The sequence below is a fragment of the Homo sapiens genome, chromosome X, assembly GCF_000001405.40.
Source record: "Homo sapiens chromosome X, GRCh38.p14 Primary Assembly".
Lineage (NCBI taxonomy): Eukaryota > Metazoa > Chordata > Mammalia > Primates > Hominidae > Homo > Homo sapiens.
The window spans coordinates 135,893,641-135,913,342 of record NC_000023.11 but is presented as its reverse complement, the minus strand read 5'-3'; the positions used below and the strand labels follow the sequence as shown (position 1 = coordinate 135,913,342).

The 19,702-nt window shown below is 41.0% G+C and overlaps 1 protein-coding gene across 9 annotated transcripts, besides 1 other annotated feature; it reads right to left on the bottom strand.

The window, feature by feature from the left end:
• On the bottom strand, nt 281–19,627 carry SAGE1 (sarcoma antigen 1). Of its 9 annotated transcripts, none has more exons than XM_017029622.2 (20): nt 19,500–19,627; nt 17,014–17,100; nt 11,652–11,784; nt 8,774–8,866; nt 7,951–8,091; nt 7,179–7,319; nt 6,792–6,932; nt 6,277–6,417; nt 5,890–6,030; nt 5,502–5,642; nt 5,114–5,254; nt 4,726–4,866; nt 4,339–4,479; nt 3,564–3,704; nt 3,173–3,313; nt 2,788–2,928; nt 2,011–2,151; nt 1,390–1,764; nt 929–1,022; nt 281–545 (listed from the first exon to the last, which is right to left on the bottom strand). In XM_017029622.2, the coding sequence occupies exons 2-20, from the start codon at nt 17,098–17,100 to the stop codon at nt 446–448; spliced, it is 2,715 nt and encodes a 904-aa protein (XP_016885111.1). In that variant the 5' UTR covers nt 19,500–19,627; the 3' UTR covers nt 281–445. The 9 variants fall into 9 exon arrangements, 8 of the variants coding, with proteins under 8 accessions (XP_016885111.1, NP_061136.2, NP_001368831.1 ...); NM_018666.3 differs by having other exon boundaries at nt 19,543–19,627; NM_001381902.1 differs by having other exon boundaries at nt 19,562–19,627.
• Nucleotides 7,268–8,467: an enhancer, noted in NCBI's record as "CDK7 strongly-dependent group 2 enhancer chrX:134987035-134988234 (GRCh37/hg19 assembly coordinates)". NCBI's record gives its function as "activates an origin of replication core promoter dependent on BRD2, BRD4, P300/CBP, MED14 and CDK7 cofactors, with strong dependence on CDK7, by STARR-seq in HCT116 cells {active_cell/tissue: HCT116}" and the evidence as "EXISTENCE:reporter gene assay evidence [ECO:0000049][PMID:35650434]".

Sequence of the window (19,702 nt, the reverse complement as noted above, 5' to 3'; positions counted from 1 at the left end):
TGGAAAATTACAGCAACCCAATCCAGGCAGGATATCGAATGGTCCAGAATGTTCAGTAATGAAGGTTTGAGTCAACCTGCGAGGCCAAGCACCATGACTGGCTGACATACTATCTCAGGGCAAAGGGAATGAGAAATGGGTAGTGAAAGAAGGCAGTTATAAGTACCAGCTACAGCAATGTGAGGTGCTGCAGAAACCAGGACTGTAATACTAAATATCTTGGTGAGTTATTAACTCATATCCCTCCTCAGGTGGAAGAAGAAACCAACAAACAAGAAAAGTGCAGCTTTTACTAACAGAGATTTATTAAATTTAAACAGCTCCCTTTTTCGTAGCTTCTGGAAGGGAATTCTCTTCATTTCAGGATTATAGGGAGCTTCAGCAATAACCTGTTCCATCCTACAGCATATGTCCTTGTTTCTCCTTGGTCTTTGCACTAACACAATTATCTTTTTCTCATGTGCTTAACTTTTCTGAGATGGCAGTGGGAATCTATTTCTTTAAGCGCCTTCTCGAGTTGCTGAATTAAGACAACTTTTTTAAACCTGAAATTAAAGAGGTATTCCATTCACCAGAGGATACCTACAGGATCTATGAGATGTAAGAGGTAGAGTGGATACAAAATAGAATTTACCATCTACATGCAAACAGAAAATGCATCCTCATTGAAAGATACAAACTAGAAAAATACAAAGTGAGTCAACTGAGGGCCCACATACACTCCCAGATTTTGATAAATTTGGAAGCCTCCATGGTATTGGAAGAAAGTGTTAGAATAAGATAGTATCAACCTAAATGCCTGTGGAAATAGCATGAACTATGATTGAGGGCCAGGGATTAGGAGGAACAAACCATGATTTTTTCCTGCCCCTGTCCCAAATTGGGCGCAAGTGCTTAAAACAATAGCACAGTTCCTTTTTGCACTCACCTTGCTGCTTCCTTGATGGTAAATTCAACAAATTGTCTCTTGACTTTCATAGATCCTTGTACCTCTTCAAGCAAAATGAAAATTCTTTCATAATCTGAAGATATTTTAAAAATTAGTATTTCTACAATTACAAAAATGAAATATACCTCAATCTTAGTGCATCCACTACCACAGTATACATTTTTCATGGGCTACAATGTTACATAGTGCTTGTTTTGAATGCTTAAATCACGACATCTGTATATTACTAAGGAAACTATTGTGAACACTAACAAAGGAAAACAAAACACTTAAGCAGACATATTAGCAATTTTCAGTGAAATTAAAGTAAAGCCATGCTAAATTATATATAGATCCAATTCAGCCAAACAATGAGCTCAAGAGGCAGCTCAATTCTGTTCTAAATCATAGAATGAGACACTTCTCATGCTTTCATTGATAGACATTCTTGCAGTACTTACTTTGCCCAAACCTTCGAACTTCTTTCATTAATTGATATTTTATATCATCATTAATTTTCTTTGCCATGGCAGGAGATATTTGTGGTGTATTTGGCACAGTTTCCACCAAAGACATTACTGTAACTGGTGGGTCACCTGCAGAGACACTGTAGTTTTTGGTGCCTACCGCAAATTCATTACTATCAGGTTTGTAAAGCAGCTCATCTTTGCTGAGACTTGTGAAGTCGTGAGAGAAAGAATCCAATGCATTGGGTGGCATACAATGTCCTGTCATATTTATCAGCTCTGGTGAATCAGAATTTGACAGGAAGCCATCAGGAGGGGTTTGATCATTTTCCATCTCCTCCTCCTGGATATCGTGAATGACAGTAGCATCTGGAATCCAAATGAAAAAATTGAGCTGTGAGATAAGTGCATTATGTCACCCCCACAGTATATCCCTCCGATGCCCAGTTTCTAGGGAGTTATCTCATGAAGCAAGAGGATACACCAGGTGGTGATCCAAGACCCCTCAAACTAAGTTTGAGTAAGATAATACAACAAAACCACCTTCTTCCCTGCAGGACACTATGCATGCATATGGAAACCAAGTAGGACAGTACAACCAATACACAAACATACACAGATCCCTGGTACTTCTGCATGAAATACCAGCTCCTGACAGATTAATACAACCAGGTGGAACCGTTGACAAGGAGTTATCAGGTGCCTGTTGGCCATTTGTCATCTTCTCCTCATGGACACTGTGAGTGGCGGTGACATCTGGAAACAAAATGAAGAGGCTGAGCTGTGAAGTAAGTGCATAATGACAACCCCACAGGGATATCCTGCTGATGCTCAGTTTCCAGGACGTTATCCCATACAGCAGGAGGATATACCAGGTGGCAATCAGAGACCCTGAAATTGAGGCAAGCAAAAGTAATACCGCAAAACCACCTTCTTCCCTTGATGACACTATGCATGCATATGGAAATCAAGTAGGAAAGTACAACTTATAAGAAAACATACACAGATCCCTGGTACTCATGGCTGGGATGTTAGCTCCTGCTATATTAATAAGCCCTGATGGAAGGGTTAACAAGAAGTTATGAGATGCTGGTTGGCCGTTTTTTATCTTCTCTCCACGGACATGGTGAGTAACGGTTGCATTTGGAAACCAAATGAAGAGATTGAGCCGTGAGGTAAGTGCATTATGTCAACCCCATAGGTATATCTCTCAGATGCTCAGTTTCTAGGAAGTTATCAATAAAAGAAGGCAAGGATATGCCAGGTGGACATATGATACCCCTCAAACTGAGGCTAGGAAAGAATATACAACAAAATTACCTTCTACCATTCATGAAAATATGCCTGCTTAGGGAAACCAAGTAGGACAGCACAACTAATAAGCAGACATACACAGATCCCTGGTAATCGTGGATGAAATTCCAGCTGCTGCCATATGACGAAGCCATGGAGGAGCAGTTGACAAGATGTTACCAGGTGCTGGTTGGCTGTTATTTATCTTCTCTTCACGGATGTTGTGAGTGACTGCAGCATCTGGAAACAAAAGAAGAGGTTGGGCGTGAGGTAAGTGCATTATGTCAACCGCACAGGCATACCCCTCTGATGCTCAGTATCTAGGAAATTATCTCATTAAGAAGGAGGATATACCAGGTAGCAATCTGAGAACCCTAAAATTGAGGCCTGAAAAGGTAATACAACAAAACTACATTCTTCCCTCATGACACTATGCATGCATATGGAAACCAAGTATGACAGTACAACAAGTGAATAAACTTACACTGATCCCTGGTACTCATGGATGAAACACCAGTTGCTGCCATATTAATAAATGCTGGTGGAACAGTCGAGAAGACATTATCGGATGCTGCTTGGCCATTTTTAATCTTCTCTTCATGGACATTGTGAGTGACGGTAGCATCTGGAACAGAAATAAAGAGGTTAAGTTTTGAGTTAAGTGCATTATGTCAACCCCACAGGTATATCTTCCTGATGCTCAGCTTCTAGAAAAGTATATCATAAAGCCGGAGAGGATATGCCAGATGGCGATCTGAGAACACTCAAATTGAACTCATGAAAGATAATACAACAAAACCACCTTCTCCTATTCATGACACTAGGCATGCATATGAAAACCAAGTAGGACAGTACAACTGAATAAGCAAACATACACTGATCCCTGGTACTCATGGCCGGAATACCAGCTACTGTCAAATAAGTAAGTCCTGGTAGAACAGTTGACAAGTCATAACTAGGTTGTGGTTGGTTATTTTCCATCCTCTCTTCATGGACATTTTGAGTGACGGTAGCATCTGGAAACCAAATAAAGAGGTTGACTTGTGACGTAAGTGCATTATGTCAATACCACAGGTATATCCCTCTGATGTTCAGTTTGTAAGAAATTGTTCCATAACACAGGAGGCTATAACAGGTGGTGATCTGAGACCCCTCAAATTTAGTCCAGAAACGATAATGCAAAAAAACCACCTTCTTCCCTGCATGACACTGCATGCGTATGGAAGTCAAGTAGGACAGTACGACTAGTAAACAAACATACACTGATCCCTGGTACTCAGGGGTGGAATACCAGCCCCTGTGACATTCATAAGCCCTGCTGTAACAGTTGACAATAATGTATCAGGTGCTCTTTGCTAATTTTTAATCTTTTCTTCACAGTCATTGTGAGTGATGGTAAAATCTGGAAACCACATGAAGAGGTTGAGCTGTGAGGTAAGTGCATTATGTCAGCCCTGCAGATATATTCCTCTGATACCCAGTTTCTAGGAAATTATCTAAGAAAGCTGGGGAGGATATGCCATGTGGACAACTGAGATCCCTCAAATTGAGGTTAGGAAAGAATATACTACAAAACCACATCTACCCTTCATGAAAATATGCATGCATATGTAAACCAAGTATGACAGTACAACTAATTAACAGACATACACAGATCCTTGGTACTCATGGATGGAATACCACCTGCAGCCATATGACCAAGCTGTGGTGCATCATTTGATATGACCTTATCAGTTTGGGGTTTGCCACTTTCCATCTTCTCTTCACGAACACTGTGAGTAATGGTAGCATCTGGAAACCAAAGGGAGAGGTCAAGCTGTGAGGTACGTGCATTATGTCAACCCCACCGATATATCCCACTGATGATGAATTTTTAGAAAATTATCCCATAAAGCAGGATAATACATCATATGATGATCTGAGGCCCCTCAAATTGAGGCCAGGAAAGATAATTCACAAAACAACCTTCTTCCCTTCATGACACTATGCATGCATATGGAAATCAAGGAGGATGGTATAACTAAAAAACACACATACACAGATCCCTGGAACTCATTGCTGGAATACTAGCTCCTGCCATATTAATAAGCCCGGATAGAACATTTGACAAGACGTTATCCTGTTTTCGTTGGCCATTTTCCATCCTTGCTTCATGGACATGGTGATTGACGGTAGCATCTAGAAACCAAATAAAGAGGTCGAGCTGTGAGTTAAGTGCATTATGCCAAGCACACATGTATATATCCCTCTGATGCTCAGTTTCTAGGAATTTATCACATAAAGCAGGAGGATATACCAGGCAGCGATCTGAGACCCCACAAATTCAACTCACGAAAGACAATATAATAAAACCACATTCTTCCATTTATGATACTGCATTCATATGGAAACCAAGTAGGATAGTACAACTAGTAAGCAAACATACACTGATCCCTGGTACTCATGGGTGGAATACCAGCTCCTGCCAAGTTAATAAGCTCTGGTGTAACAGCTGACAAGACGTTATCAGGGGTTGGTTGGCTGTTATCTTTCTTCTCTTCACGCAGATTGTGAATGATGGTAGCATCTGGAAACCAAATGTAGTTGATGAGCTGTGAGGTAAGTGCAGTATGTCAATCCCACAGGAATACCCCCTCTGATGCTCACTATCTAGGAATTTATCTCCTAAGGAACTAGGATATACCAGGGAGCAATTGAAAACCCTAAAATTGAGGCCAGAAAACATAATACAACAATACCGTCTTCTTCCCTTGATGACAATATGCATGCATATGGAAACCAAGTAGGACACCACAACTAGTAAACAAACTTACGCTGATCCCTGGTACTCATGGCTGGCATATCAGCTGTTGCCAAATAAGCAAGCCCTGGTAGAACAGTTGACAAGGCGTTACTAGGTAGTGGTTGGTTATTTACCACTCTCTCTTCACAGACATTGTGAGTGATGGTAGCATCTGGAAACCAAATGAAAAGCTTGAGCTCTGAGCTAAGTGTATTATGTCAGCCCTACAGGTATATCCCTCTGATGCTCAGGGTCTAGGAAATTAACTCATAAAGCAGGAGGATACAGCAAGTGATGATCTGAGACACCTCAGATTGAGCTCATGAAAGAGAATCCAATAAAACAACCTCCTTCCCTTTATGACACTGTGCATTCATATGTAAACCAACTAGGACACTACAACTAGTAAACAAACATACACTGATCCCTGGTATTCATGCCCGGAATACCAGTTGCTGTCAAATAAATAATCACTGGTTGAACAGTTGACAATACGTTATTAGGTTGCGGTTGGTCATTTTCCATCTTCTCTTCACAGACATTGTGAGGGACGGTGGAATCTGGAAAACAAATGAAGAGGTTGAGCTGTGAGTAAGTGCATTATGTCAGCCCCACAGGTATACCCCTATGATGCTCAGCTTCTAAGAAATTATTGCATAAAGCAGGAGGACATGACAGGTGGTGATCTGAGACCCCTCAAATTGAGCTCAAGATAGATGATACAACAAAACCTCCATCTCCCCTTCATGACAATATGCACGTATATGGAAACCAAGCAGGATAATCCAATTAACAAGCAAACATACACAGGCCATTGGTGCTGATGGCTGGAGTACCAGCTCCTGCCACATTAATAAGCCCTGTTGAAGCAGTTGACAAGATGTTATCAGGTTGGGGTTGGCCCTTTTCCATCTTCTCCTCAGGGACATTGTAAGTGATGGTAGCATCTGGAAACCAAATGAAGAGGCTGAGCTGTTAGGTAAGTGTATTATGGTAACCCCACAGGTATATCCCTCTGATGCTCAGTTTCTAGGAAATTATCTCATAAACAGGAGGATATACCAGGTTGCCATACGAGACCCCTGAAATTGAGGCCAGGAAAGACAATACAACAAAACCACCTTGTATGCTTTTTGACACTATGCATGCATATGGAAACCAAGTAGGACAGTAATACAAATAAACAAACTTACATGGATCCCTGGTACTCATGGGTGAAATACCAGGAACGACAATACAACAAAACCACCTTGTATGCTTTTTGACACTATGCATGCATATGGAAACCAAGTAGGACAGTAATACAAATAAACAAACTTACATGGATCCCTGGTACTCATGGGTGAAATACCAGTGTCTGTCATATTAATACGCCGTGGTCGAAGAGTCAACAACACGTTATCAGGTGCTGGTTGGACATTTTCCATCTTCTGTTCACAGACATTGTGAGTGACTGTAGCATCTGGAAACCAAAGGAAGAGGTTGAGCTGTGAGGTAAGTGCATTATGCCAACTCACAAGTATATCCCTCTGGTGCTCAGTTTCTATGAAATTATTTCATAAAGCAGTAGGATATATCAGGTGGTGATGTGAGACCCCTCAGATTTAGGCCAGAAACGATAACACAACAAAACCACCTAACTCCCTTCATGGCACTATGTATGCATATGAAAACCAAGTAAGACAGCACAATTTATAAGTGGACATACAGAGATCTCTGGCACTCATGGCTGGAATAGGAGTTGCTGCCATATTAATAAGCCCTGTGGGACCAGTTGACAAGACGTTATCAGGTTGGGGTTGGCCATTTTCCATTCTCTCTTCACGGATATTGTGAGTGACGGTAGAATCTGGAAACCAAATGAAGAGTTCAAGCTGTGAGGTAAGTGCATTACGTCAGTGCCACAGGTATATCCCTCTGATGCTCAGTTTCTAGGAAATTATCCCATAAACCAGGAGGACATATCAGGTGGTGATTTGAGACCCCTGAATTTTAGGCCAGAAAAGATAATAAAACGAAACCACCTTCTTCCCTGCATGACACTGCATGCGTACGAAAAGCAAGTAGGTCAGTACAACTAGTAAACACACACTGATCCCTGGTACTCAGGGGTGGAATATCAGCCCCTGTGAAATTCATAAGCCCCGCTGTAATAGTAGACAAGAATTTATCAGGTGCCATTTGTTCATTTTTTATCTTCTCTTCACAGATAATGTGAGTAACAGTTGAATCTGGAAAACAAACGAAGAGTTTGAACTGTGAGGTAAGTCCACTATGTCAGCCCAACAGGTATATCCCTCTGATGCTCAGTTTCTAGGAAATTATCTAGGAAATCAGGGGAGGATTTGCCAGGTGGCCATCTGAGACCCCTCAAATTGAGACTAGGAAAGTATATGCAACAAAAGTGACTTCTACCTTTCATGAAAATATCCATGCTTATGGAAAACAAGTATGACAGTACAACTAATTAGCAGACATACGCAGATCCCTGGTACTCATGGATGGAATACCAGCTGCAGCCATATGAACAAGCTGTGGTGGAGCAGTTGACAAGACTTTGTCAGTTCGAGATTGGCCATTTTCCATCCTCTCTTCACGGATATTGTGAGCGATGGTAGCATCTGGAAACCGATGGAACAGGTTGAGTTGTGAGGTATGTGCATTATGACAATTGAACCAGTATATCCCACTGATGCTCGGTTTCTAGGAAATTATCCCCTAATGCAGGAGAATACATCATATAATGATTTGAGTCCACTTAAGTTGAGGTCACGAAAGATAATTCAACAAAACCACCTTCTTCCCTTCATGACATTATGCATGCACATGGAAACCAAGGAGGACACTACAACTAATAAACAAACACACACAGATCCCTGGTACTCATCGCTGGAATACCAGCTCCTGTCATATTAATAAGCCCTGATAGAACATTTGACATGACATTATCTCGTTGGGGTTGACCATTTTCCATCCCCTCCTCATGGACACTGTGATTGACAGTAGCGTGTGGAAACCAAGTGAAGAGGTTGAGCTGTGAGGTAAGTGCATTATGTCAACCCCACAGGTATATTCCTCTGTGTTCAATTTCTAGGAAATTATCTAAAAAAGCAGGGGAGGATATGCCAGCTGGCCATCTGATACCCCTCAAATTGAGGCTAAGAAAGAATATACAACAAAACCACCTTCTATAATTCATGAAAATATGCCTGCTTATGGAAACCAAGTAGGACAGTACAATTAATAAGTACTCATGGATGAATTTCATACTCATGGATGAAATTCCTGCTGCTGCCATATTACCAGGCCATGGTGGAGCAGTTGACAAGACATTATCAGCTACTGGTTGGCCGTTATTTATCCTCTCTTCACAAATGCTGTGAGTGACTGCAGCATCTGGAAACCAAATGAAGTGGTTGAGCTGTGAGGTAAGTGCATTATGTCAATGGCACAGGCATGCCCCACTGATGCTCAGTATCTAGGAAATTATCTCATAAAGAAGAAGGATATACCAGGTAGCAATCTGAGAACCCTAAAATTGAGGCCAGAAAAGATAATACAACAAAATTACCTTCTTCCCTCACGACACTATGCATATATGGTGCGTAGTGGAATCCTCGTAGGACAGTATAACAAGTGAGCAAATTTACACTGGTCCCTGGTACTCATGGATGAAATACCAGCTGCTGCCATACTAATAAGCACTGATGGAACAGTTGCAATGACATTATTGTGTGCAGATTGGCCATTTTTTACCTTCTCTTCATGGACATTGTGAGTGATGCTAGCAGCTGGAAACCAAATGAAGAGGTTGAGCTGCAAGATAGGTGTGTTTTGTCCCATCCTCCCCCAGAGGGACAGCTGTGTATTAATCAGGTTCTAAAGAATTATTTATTTCATGAAACAGAAGGATTTACCACGTGGAAATCTCAGATCTTGTGACAGAGATCAGGTCAGATAATACAATAAAACTACCTTTTTACCTCTTGGCATAATGAATATATGCAGTAAAGAAGTACGACAGCAGAATAAACATTCACAGGTTTTTGTATTCGTCATTTTGTATCATCTTGCTGCCCTTGATAGGCAGCAAGATGATAATTCTCACTTGATATTATTTGTATAGTTCACCTATAAATGCCATGCTGTGCACAGCAGGAAGCCAGACTAAGTGAGCCCTCCTTAACCTGCCTCCTTTCTACCCCAAATACTCTGAGAAAATACACGTGGCTATTGGAGTTGAACACTCTTATCACCACTCCATCATCACACATCTGTATTTTTATATGATTCTACAGATCCTTCCCTTTTATCTAGAAAAAGTGACTTTCTTTTCACTCCAGGTCTGACGCCTCTTTCATTTATTCATCATCTGTGGCAGGCAGCATGCCAGGACCCAGGGATCAGCAGTAAACAGCCCAGGGAGCAACGTTCCCTGCCCTTGTGGAGCTCACATCCTCATGGGGCAGTCAGACAGTACATGCACAATGAGCAAATGAAACAAGCAGCATTGGGCTGGTGTTGGAAAAGCAGTCCACAGGCCTGTGGGAGACAGCAGCAGAGGGAGCCCCTGGGGCTGCAGCTGGTTTGGCAGAGGCTTCTGAAGAAGTGCCATTGGGCAGGGCTTGGAGAAAGAAGCAGAGCCTCCTGTGCAGAGGCAGAGGGAGAGTTCCAGGCTGCAGTGAGGCCAAGGGTAGGGAATGGAGTGGGGATGGACCGGGCACTACAGAGGTGAAGGTCAGAGGCAGAGAGAGCCAGGAGGAAATGGATGGGACCCATGTTAGGAGAGGGTGACAGAGGCCAGGCTGTGCAGAGGCTTGGAGACCAAAGCCGGTTCAGGGTCTGTTCTGAGTGCTTAGGAGAGATGAGGATGGGTTTTCAGGAGGGACATGGCATGATGTGATTTACGTGCTGAAATAATTATCTAGCCACAGGGTTAGAGAGTATGCGATAGATGAGCGAAGATTAGAAACACAGAGCTAAGAAGGCATTGTACTAGCCTGGAGACAGATCACGGCAGCATGCACTGGAGGCATAGAGAGAAATGGTTGGATGCAGAATTTATACTGGGCATCTACTGCTGGACTTGCTAAGAAATGGGAAATGAGAGAGTAATAAAAGAATCATGAGATAACTCATAAGTGACTTTAAGTATTTTGACTAGAACTACTAAGTAAAAGTACACCAGGGGTGTTCAGGAGGTGTTAGGCAACCGACCATGAGAGCTGAGTGCTGCCAACTCTTCCTGAATCTGGTTCAGTGACCTTATGTTGACAGCTTGAACTAGGCCATGGTGGGATTATTTGCCCGATGGATAGCTGCAAACTGTAAAAACCAGGATTCCTCAATCCCCCATACCTGTGAACAGCTGGTTGTTACACCTTTGTGGATGTTTCACCTAATGGACAGTATCTTTAATTGAAATAGTGAAAGCTAAAAGTAGAGTATTTTTGGAGAGAGGGAGGTCAGAAATTTGAGCATGTAGAGTCAGTTGAATTTTACATGCCTATTAGACACCCAGTAAAGATACCGCGAGTGTAGTCGTATTTGAGTCTGGATTTCAGGAGCAAGTTGTAGTGTAGAAGTATAATGGTGAGAGTTCTTATAGTGTGAATCATTTAAAATTCTAAGACAGCACGGCATCGCCTAAATAGATAGTATACTGAAGAGAAGAGAGTCTAGGATTAAGCTTTGGGGTTCCGAAATATTTAGAGGTGGGAAGGGAGAGGAGAAAAACAAAAAAGAGAAGGAAAATGAGTCTCTAGTAACAGGGTAAGAAATCCAGGTGTCTGGGGACCCAAGAAGCTTTCCGTGCAGGAGGGAGTAAACAACTGTGTCGCATGCTGCTGAGACATTAACGCCAAAGTGTAGCAAACACTGGTGACCTTGATGATAGTAGTTTCATTGGAGTACACTAAGAAGCCAGACCACACTGGGTTAGAGCGGAATGTGAGGACAGGCAGAAAGTGAGCAGACCCATCCTCTTGTTGAGCCCACCATCTCCTTCTGCCTCAGGAACCTGCTTCATTCATCTAACGCTTGCAACAACTCCAAATTGTTGCACCTAATTAGAACCTTGCCCTTCCACTTGCAAATGTGCTCATATCTGTTCATCCCTCAAGGACATGACTACAAATGTCCTTTGACATGGTTGAGGCCCAAAGATTGGATTCCCCCTCACCTTCCTGTTTGTCTAACCACGAGGACATACTCTTCCTTCTCTTAGATGAAGAGTGTCTCTTGGATTTTCTGGAATGTTTCTTTTTGCTTTGATGCCCTGTTGCAACCAGATTTACTTCATCACTCCTCATTTGCTGAAAAACATCAGTGAACATATTCCATTAAAGACAAATCCAACCACTGCAAAGTCACAGTCTTCATATGCATACACAGCCATGCATTTATATCATTAATGTAAGTTTTAGTCACAGGTCAAAGATTTCTCATCCCTGAACATACACGATGCTCTCAGAAAAGGCAAGCTAATTTTAGTCAAGTCTCAGTGAAACAAGGGAAGGTAAAATACAAGGTGTTATCCAAAGTCAAACATGGTACAGTCATGATAAATCAGAATGCTTGGGGAATGAGTGGCTTTCATCATCCAAAGGTATAAACATATGGTTATCTCTCTCATGAAGTACACATCATTTTGTCTCAGCCCTTGTTAGGGGAGAAAAAAAAAGAAATACCTTTTTTATCTTTTAGTGCTTTTTTTTTTTTTTTTTTTTTTTAGACGGAGTCTTGCTCTGTCGCCCAGGCTGGATTGCAATTGCATGATCTCGGCTCACTGCAAGCTCTGCTTCCCCAAGTCACGCCATTCTACTGCCTCAGCTTCCCGAGTTCCTGGGACTACAGGCACCCGCCACCACGCCCGGCTATTTTGTATTTTTAGTAGAGATGGGGTTTCACCGTGTTAGCCAGGATGGTCTTGATCTCCTGACCTCCTGATCCTCCCACCTCGGCCTCCCAAAGTGCTGGGATTACAGGTGCGAGCCACCACACCCGGCCTCTTTTAGTGCTTTAAAGTTACTTATTAACCAATAATCATTAATACTTTATTAGATGATACATATAGATAATGAAGGGTAGGATAGATTGAAAAGATAAATTTTCCCACCTCCAACCTTATGGAGATTCCGATATGTTGATCTTGGAATCAGGTAGGGGTAGGGCGAGCTTTACAATGTTAGTGGTAAATAAAACATGAAAATGAAGGGTATAGTATGTATGTTAACTAAAAGCTGTTTTCATCAAAGGATAACCCAAGAATATGTTCCTGCCTACTAGAGGTACCAAGAAGAGCTGGTAATATTACTACCGAAACTATTCCAAAAAATTAAAAAGGAGGGACTCCTACCTAACTCATTTTATGAGACCAGCATCACCCTGATACCAAAACCTGGCAGAGATACAACAAAAAAAAACTTCAGGCCAGTATTCCTGATGAACATCGATGCAAAATCCTCAATAAAATACTGGAAAACTGAATCCAGCAGCACATCAAAAAGCTTATTCCCCATGATCAAGTTGGCTTCATCCCCGGGATGCAAGGTCATTTCAGAATAGGCCAATCAATGAATGTAATTCATCACATAAACAGAACTAAAGACAAAAACCACACGCTTATCTCAATAGATGCAGAAAAGGCCTTTGATAAAATTCAACATCCCCTTATATTAAAAGCTCTCAATAAACCAGGTATTGAAGGAACATACCTCAAAATAATAAGAGCCATATATGACAAACCCACAGCCAATATCATACTGAATGGGAAAAACCTGGAAGCATTACCCTTGAAACTGGCACAAAACAAGGATGCCCTCCCTCACCTCGCCTATTCAACATAGTATTACACGTTCTGTCCAGGGGAATCGGGCAAGGCAAAGAAATAAAGAGTATTCAAAAAGGGAGAAAGGAAGTCAAATTACCTTTGTTTGCAGATGACATGACCCTATATCTAGAAAATCCCGTTGTCTCAGCCCAAAAGCTTCTTAAGCTGATAAGCAATTTCAGCAAAGTCTCGGGATACAAAATCCATGTGCAAAAATTGCTAGCATTCCTCTACACCAAAAACAGGCAAGCAGAGAGACAAATCATGAATGAACTCCCATTAACAATTCCTACAAAAAGAATAAATTACCTAGGAATATGGCTAACAAGGGAAGTGAAAGACCTCTTCAGAGAGAACTACAAACCACTGCTCAAGGAAATCAGAGAGCAAATAAATGAATGGAAAAACATTCCATGCTCATGGATAGGAAGAATCAATATTGTGAAAATGGCCATACTGCCCAAAGTAATTTAGAAATTCAATGCTATTTCCATTAAACTATCATTGATATTCTTCACCAAGTTAGAAGGAGCTATTTTAAAATGCATATGGAACGAAAAAAGAGCCAGAATAGCCAAGACAATCCTAAGCAATAAGAACAAAGCTGGAGGCATCACGCTACCTAACTTCAAACTATACTACAGGGCTACAGTAACCAAAGCAGCATGGTGCTGGCAGAAAAACAGATACATGGACCAATGGAACAGAATAGAGAACTCGGAAATAAGATCACACAGTGATAATTATCTGATCTTCGACAAACCTGACAAAAACAAGCAATGGGGACAGGATTCCCTATTTAATTAATGGTGCTGGGAGAACTGGCTAGCTGTATGCAAAATTTGAAACTGGGCTCCTTCCTTACACCTTATACAAAAATTTACTCAAGATGGATTAAAGACTTAAATGTAGAACACAAAACTATACAAACCCTAGAAAAAAAAATAGGCAATACTATTCAGGACATAGGCACCGGCAAAGATTTCATGACAAAAATGCCAAAAGCAATGGCAACAAAAGCAAAAGTTGACAAATGGGATCTAATTAAACTAAAGAGCATATGCATAGCAAAATAAACTATCATCAGAGTGAATAGACAGCCTACAGAATGGGAGAAAACTTTTGCAATCTGCCCATCTGACAAAGGTCTACTATCCAGAGTCTACAAGAAACTTAAACAAATTTACAAAAGAAAACCAAACAACCCCATTAAAAAGTGGGCAAAGGACATGAACAGACACGTCTCAAAAGAAGATATTCACGCGGGCAACAAAAATATGAAAAAAAGCTCAACATCACTGATCATTAGAGAAATGCAACTCGAAACCACAATGAGATAACATCTCATGCCAGTCAGAATGGCGATTACTAAAACGTCAAAAAACTACAGATGCTGGCAAGGCTGTGGAGAAAAAGGACTGCTTTTACACTGTTGGTGGGAGTGTAAATTACTTCAACCATGTGGATGACAGTGTGGTGATTCCTGAAAGATCTAGAGGCAGAAATATCATTTGATCCAGCAATCTCATTACTGGGTATATACCCAGAGAAATATAAATCATTCTATTATAAAGATACATGCACATGTATGTTCATTGCAGCACTATTCACAATAGCAAAGATGTGGAATCAACCCAAATGCCCATCAATGATAGACTGGATAAAGAAAATGTAGTACATATACACCACGGAATACTATGCAGCCATAAAAAGGAATGAGATCGGCCGGGTGCGGTGGCTCACGCCTGTAATCCCAGCACTTTGGGAGGCCAAGGCGGGCGGATCACGAGGTCAGGAGATGGAGACCATCCTGGCTAACACGGTGAAACCCCGTCTCTACTAAAAATACAAAAAAAATTAGCCAGGTGTGGTGGCGGGCGCTTGCAGTACCAGCTACTCGGGAGGCTGAGGCAGGAGAATGGCATGAGCCCGGGAGGCGGAGCTTGCAGTGAGCCGAGATCATGCCACTGCACTCCAGCCTGGGCGACAGAGCGTGACTCCGTCTCAAAAAAAAGAAAAAAAATAAAAAAGGAATGAGATCATGTCCTTTGCAGAAACATGGATGGAGCTAGAAGCCGTTATCATCAGGAAACTAACGCAAGAAAAGAAAACCAAACAGCACGTGTTCTCACTTATAAGTGGGAGCTGAATGATGAGAACACATGGACACGTCGGGCAGGGCAACACACACTGGGCCTGTTGGGGGAGGAGTTGGGGGAGGGAATGCATCAGGAAAAATAGCTACTGGGTGCTGGGCTTAATACCAAGGTGATGGGTTCATAGGTGCAGTAAGCCACCATGCCACACGTTTACCTATGTAATAAACCTGCACATCCTGCACATGTACCCCAGGACTTAAAGTAAAAGTTGAAGAAATAAAGAATATGCTCTTGCATTAAATATGCAGGAGCATATTTAATGAAAATTATATTCAAATATATAATTTTGATTAAAAAATTTTCCAAACCATTTTCATTTCCTATAAAAGCAGAGTGGAGAATGTGTGAAAACATTTTTACTGAACATTTACTACCCTCCAGGTACTGTTCTCAATGCTTTACATGTATTAACTCAATCCTTGGCCAATCCCTATGAGTGAGGTGTGATTCTTATGACTATTGTTAAAAAAGAGAAAATAAAGGCACAGAAAATTAAGGAAAAGCCTAATTAATTGAGGAGTTTTGGGAATGTGGTGGAATAACTTTAGTCTGGTTTTGTTACAGAAGAGATTATTGCCTAATTGTGTCCTAGTGCAGATGCAATCTCCTTTGTCTTCATGTTCTAATGGTGAAGTTAGTAAGTCTCTCTCATACACAACACAAAACTCACATTAAGATCTCCATCAGGACAATCCAATCATGGCAACATCACCTAGTGCTTCATATTCCACGAGGAATACTTAGTCATTTTTTTAGGCAGAGCACTAGTGACTTGGATAACAGAAAGAGAGACTGTAGACTGCAATCTCGATATTAAAGGAGTTATTGTGGGGAGTGGGAAAGAATATAGACTCTGGAGTCAGAAAGATATGCGTTCAAACCCTGGCTCTACCTCCTATCTTGTGTCACATGGGGCAAGCCATTTGACCACTGTCAGCCTTGATTTCTTATTAAAGGGTAGATAGTAATACATATCTGCAGAACAACTATGAGCATTAAATGTGATAATTAAAAACATCAGTTCGGCCAGGTGCGGTGGCTCATGCCTGTAATCCCAGCACTTTGGGAGGCGAGGTGGGCGGATCACCTGAGGTCGGGAGTTCGAGAGCAGCCTGTCCAAAATGGAGAAACCCTGTCTCTACTAAAAATACAAAAAATAAGCTGGGTGTGGTGGCGCATGCCTGTAATCCCAGCTACTCAGAAGGCTAAGGCAGGAGAATCACTTGAACCCGGGAAGTGGAGGTTGCGGTGAGCTGAGATCGTGCCATTGCACTCCAGCCTGGGCAACAAGAGTGAAACTCCATCTCAAAAAAAAAAAAAAAGATATAAATAAAATAAAATAAAATAAAATAAAATAAATCAGTTCCTAGTACAACCAATCCACTCTTGGATCAAAAAGTTCCCATTTTATGTTCACATAAGATTTCCTGTGTCATATTTTATCTTTTAAATCAAGAGAATTAACACATATAGTTTATATTCATCTTTCCAATGAGAAAATAATTATACGAAGAATGTCACAATTAGGGCAGAAATAGAAAGAGTTATCTTACCTGCCCATCATTTGTAAACACATAGGCAGCAGCATGAAGTTCTTCAGGTGGAGTTGGTTGACTCGTTTGAAGTGGAGAAGCCTGCATCTGCAGATAGTCCTCATAATTAACTATGTGTGTTACTAGAACACTTTGATTTATAACTGGAACGTAACTGGCACATAAATTGGCGCTATACAGCTGAAATATATGATCCTCTTGAGAGTACATGATCACAGATTGTCTTAGCAATGTGTGCCTTGGTACCAGAGTTTAGAATCTCATGTCTAGAATCTATATCATGTTCCATGATCTAGAATCATCTCCCTTTACCTAAGTCATGACTCAGTCCACCATCACTACTTCCTGTAGGTTCACACCACTAGGTTAGGTTAAACAAGTCCCTTATGCCTCCAACCCAGTTTGAGAATGGGCTGACCTTCCTTATACCACCATCCCAACTAAAAATCTATAATTCTAAATATTAATACTTTAATATTTAGAATGCCAATTTTCACTGAATTCCACAAGTTCATTTTTTCAGACTTAAAGGATAAGTATGTATTAATGAGCATATACACTGTTCTAGTTATCCTACCTGCCCATCATTTATAACCACATAGTCCAAAGTATAAAGCTCTTCACCTAGAGTTAGCTGACTCGTTTGAAGTGGAGGAACCAGCATCTTCAGATATTCCTCATAGCTAACTATGTGTGTGTGACTAGAACACTCTGATTAAAAACTAGAACATAAATGGCAAGTAAATTGGCACTATTCTTCCCACTGGAAGGGTGTAGGCTCCATGGCATTCTCTTATCATCCAGGGAACACTGGGTAGTGGGCCTAACCCTCTTTGGATAATTTGATTAAATCTACAGATATTTTTCCCTGGGAAAGTACCTTTACACACAAACTTGGTGTACAATTTTAGAAGTGTGACCAGCCTAAGATCTGTTTAATTTAGTGGACAGATGACCCCACTTAAAATCACCAAAGTGGGGGTAAAGAGGGTTTGTAAACTGTTGCCAATTATCCTGGATACTATCAATTTTGTTATTTCCATATAAACAAGGAATTCTCTGCTGAACTCACAGCAGTAAGCAGTGTGATATAGTATTCGTGTGTGCAATCTCTGGAATCTGAGAGACCTAGGTTCTGTCACTTTTCCAGCTAGTTATACCTGGGAGAGCTACTTAAATGTACACTCTAAGATTCTATTTCCATAAAAAGGGCATAAAACAGTATCTAACTCATGGTGCTCTTATAAGGATTACCAGAGATAAAGCACAAAGAGGATAGTGTATGTGCTGGTTAATACATACTTTCCTTTAAGTTAAAAAACAAACAAACAAACAAACAAACTTGTGGGATTTAGTGAACATGGGCATTCTCTATATTAAAACATTAAAAAAATAAACTGCTCATGCAATAAACAGCTTCCCACAAACTAGACTTGATATTTTCAAAATCAGTAAAAGCCCGGCACAAAAAAACACTTGTTTGGTTTCAGCACACCGAATTTCCTTCTGGTTAACTGGTCGAAATGACTGCTACTTGCAATATCATAAGCATTTCTACATGTCTAACATTTCAAATCTTCCTTTGCGAAACAAATCTTTTGTTATTCCTGAAGTTTTAAACTGATGTATTTAATACAAGCAAGCAGAAGGAGGGGAATGATGAAAATTAGAGTAGAAGAAAATCAATGAAATAAGAAACAGAAAAATCAATGAAATCAAAAGTTGGTTCACCGAAAAGGTGAAAAAAAAAATCTAACAATCTTTTAGCTTGACTGACCAAGAAAAATAGAAAGGACTACACAGATTATCAAAATCAAAAATGAAAGGGGGGTTATTAATACTGACCTTACAGAAATTAAAAGGAATACATTATGAACAACTTTACGCCAACAAACTAAACAACTTAGGTAAAATGGAAAAAATTCTTGGAAGACAAATTACCGACTCAAGAAGAAACAGGCTGGGTGCAGTGGCTCACGCCTGTAATCCCAGCACTTTGGGAGGCCAAGGCGGGCGGATCACCTGAGGTTGGGAGTTTGAGACCAGCCTGACAAACATGGAGAAACTCCGTCTCTACTACAAATACAAAATTAGCTGGGCGTGGTGGCGCATGCCTGTAATCCCAGCTATTTGGGAGGCTGAGGCAGGAGAATCACTTGAACCCGGGAGGCGGAGGTTGGGTGAGCCAAGATCATGCCATTGCACTCCACCCCGGGCAACAAGAGCGAACAACAAGAGTGAAACTCCGTCTCAAAATAAATGAATAAATAAATAAATAAATAATAAGTAGAAAATCGACTTAGGACTATAGCATGAAAAGAGATTTAATTAGTAATTTAAAATCTCCCCAGAAATACAAGCCAAGCCAAGATGGCTTCGCGTGCAAATTCTATCAAACATTTAAGGAAGAAATAATACCAGTACTTAGCAATGTCTTCCAAAAAATAACGGAGGAACACTACTTCATTCTATGCGGCCAATATTACCCTGATATCAAAGCCAGAGAAATATATCACAAGATATATTTGCCTGTCAGCTCCAAATTCACCCTTTTATCCCGCTGTGTGAGAAGGTTCTGTGTTCCTCTGCCTCTGCCCGCTGTGCAGTTGATAGTGAAGGCCACCTGTAGAGAGCACCAGAGTCAGCTAAGGGGAGAGCTGCGCTTCCTGGTTCTCCCGCTGGCGCCAGC

What these genes read in the sequence shown, in the direction of transcription:
- SAGE1 (XM_017029622.2), bottom strand. Translation starts at nt 17,100, where the DNA reads ATGCAGGCTTCTCCACTTCAAACGAGTCAACCAACTCCACCTGAAGAA. An exon ending in CATGAGTACCAGGGATCTGC is followed by an intron (nt 7,320 to 7,950) that starts GTATGTCTGCTA and finishes TTTGGTTTCCAG; the next exon opens with ATTCTACCGTCACTCACAAT. An exon ending in AGTTCGAAGGTTTGGGCAAA is followed by an intron (nt 1,023 to 1,389) that starts GTAAGTACTGCA and finishes AAATATCTTCAG; the next exon opens with ATTATGAAAGAATTTTCATT.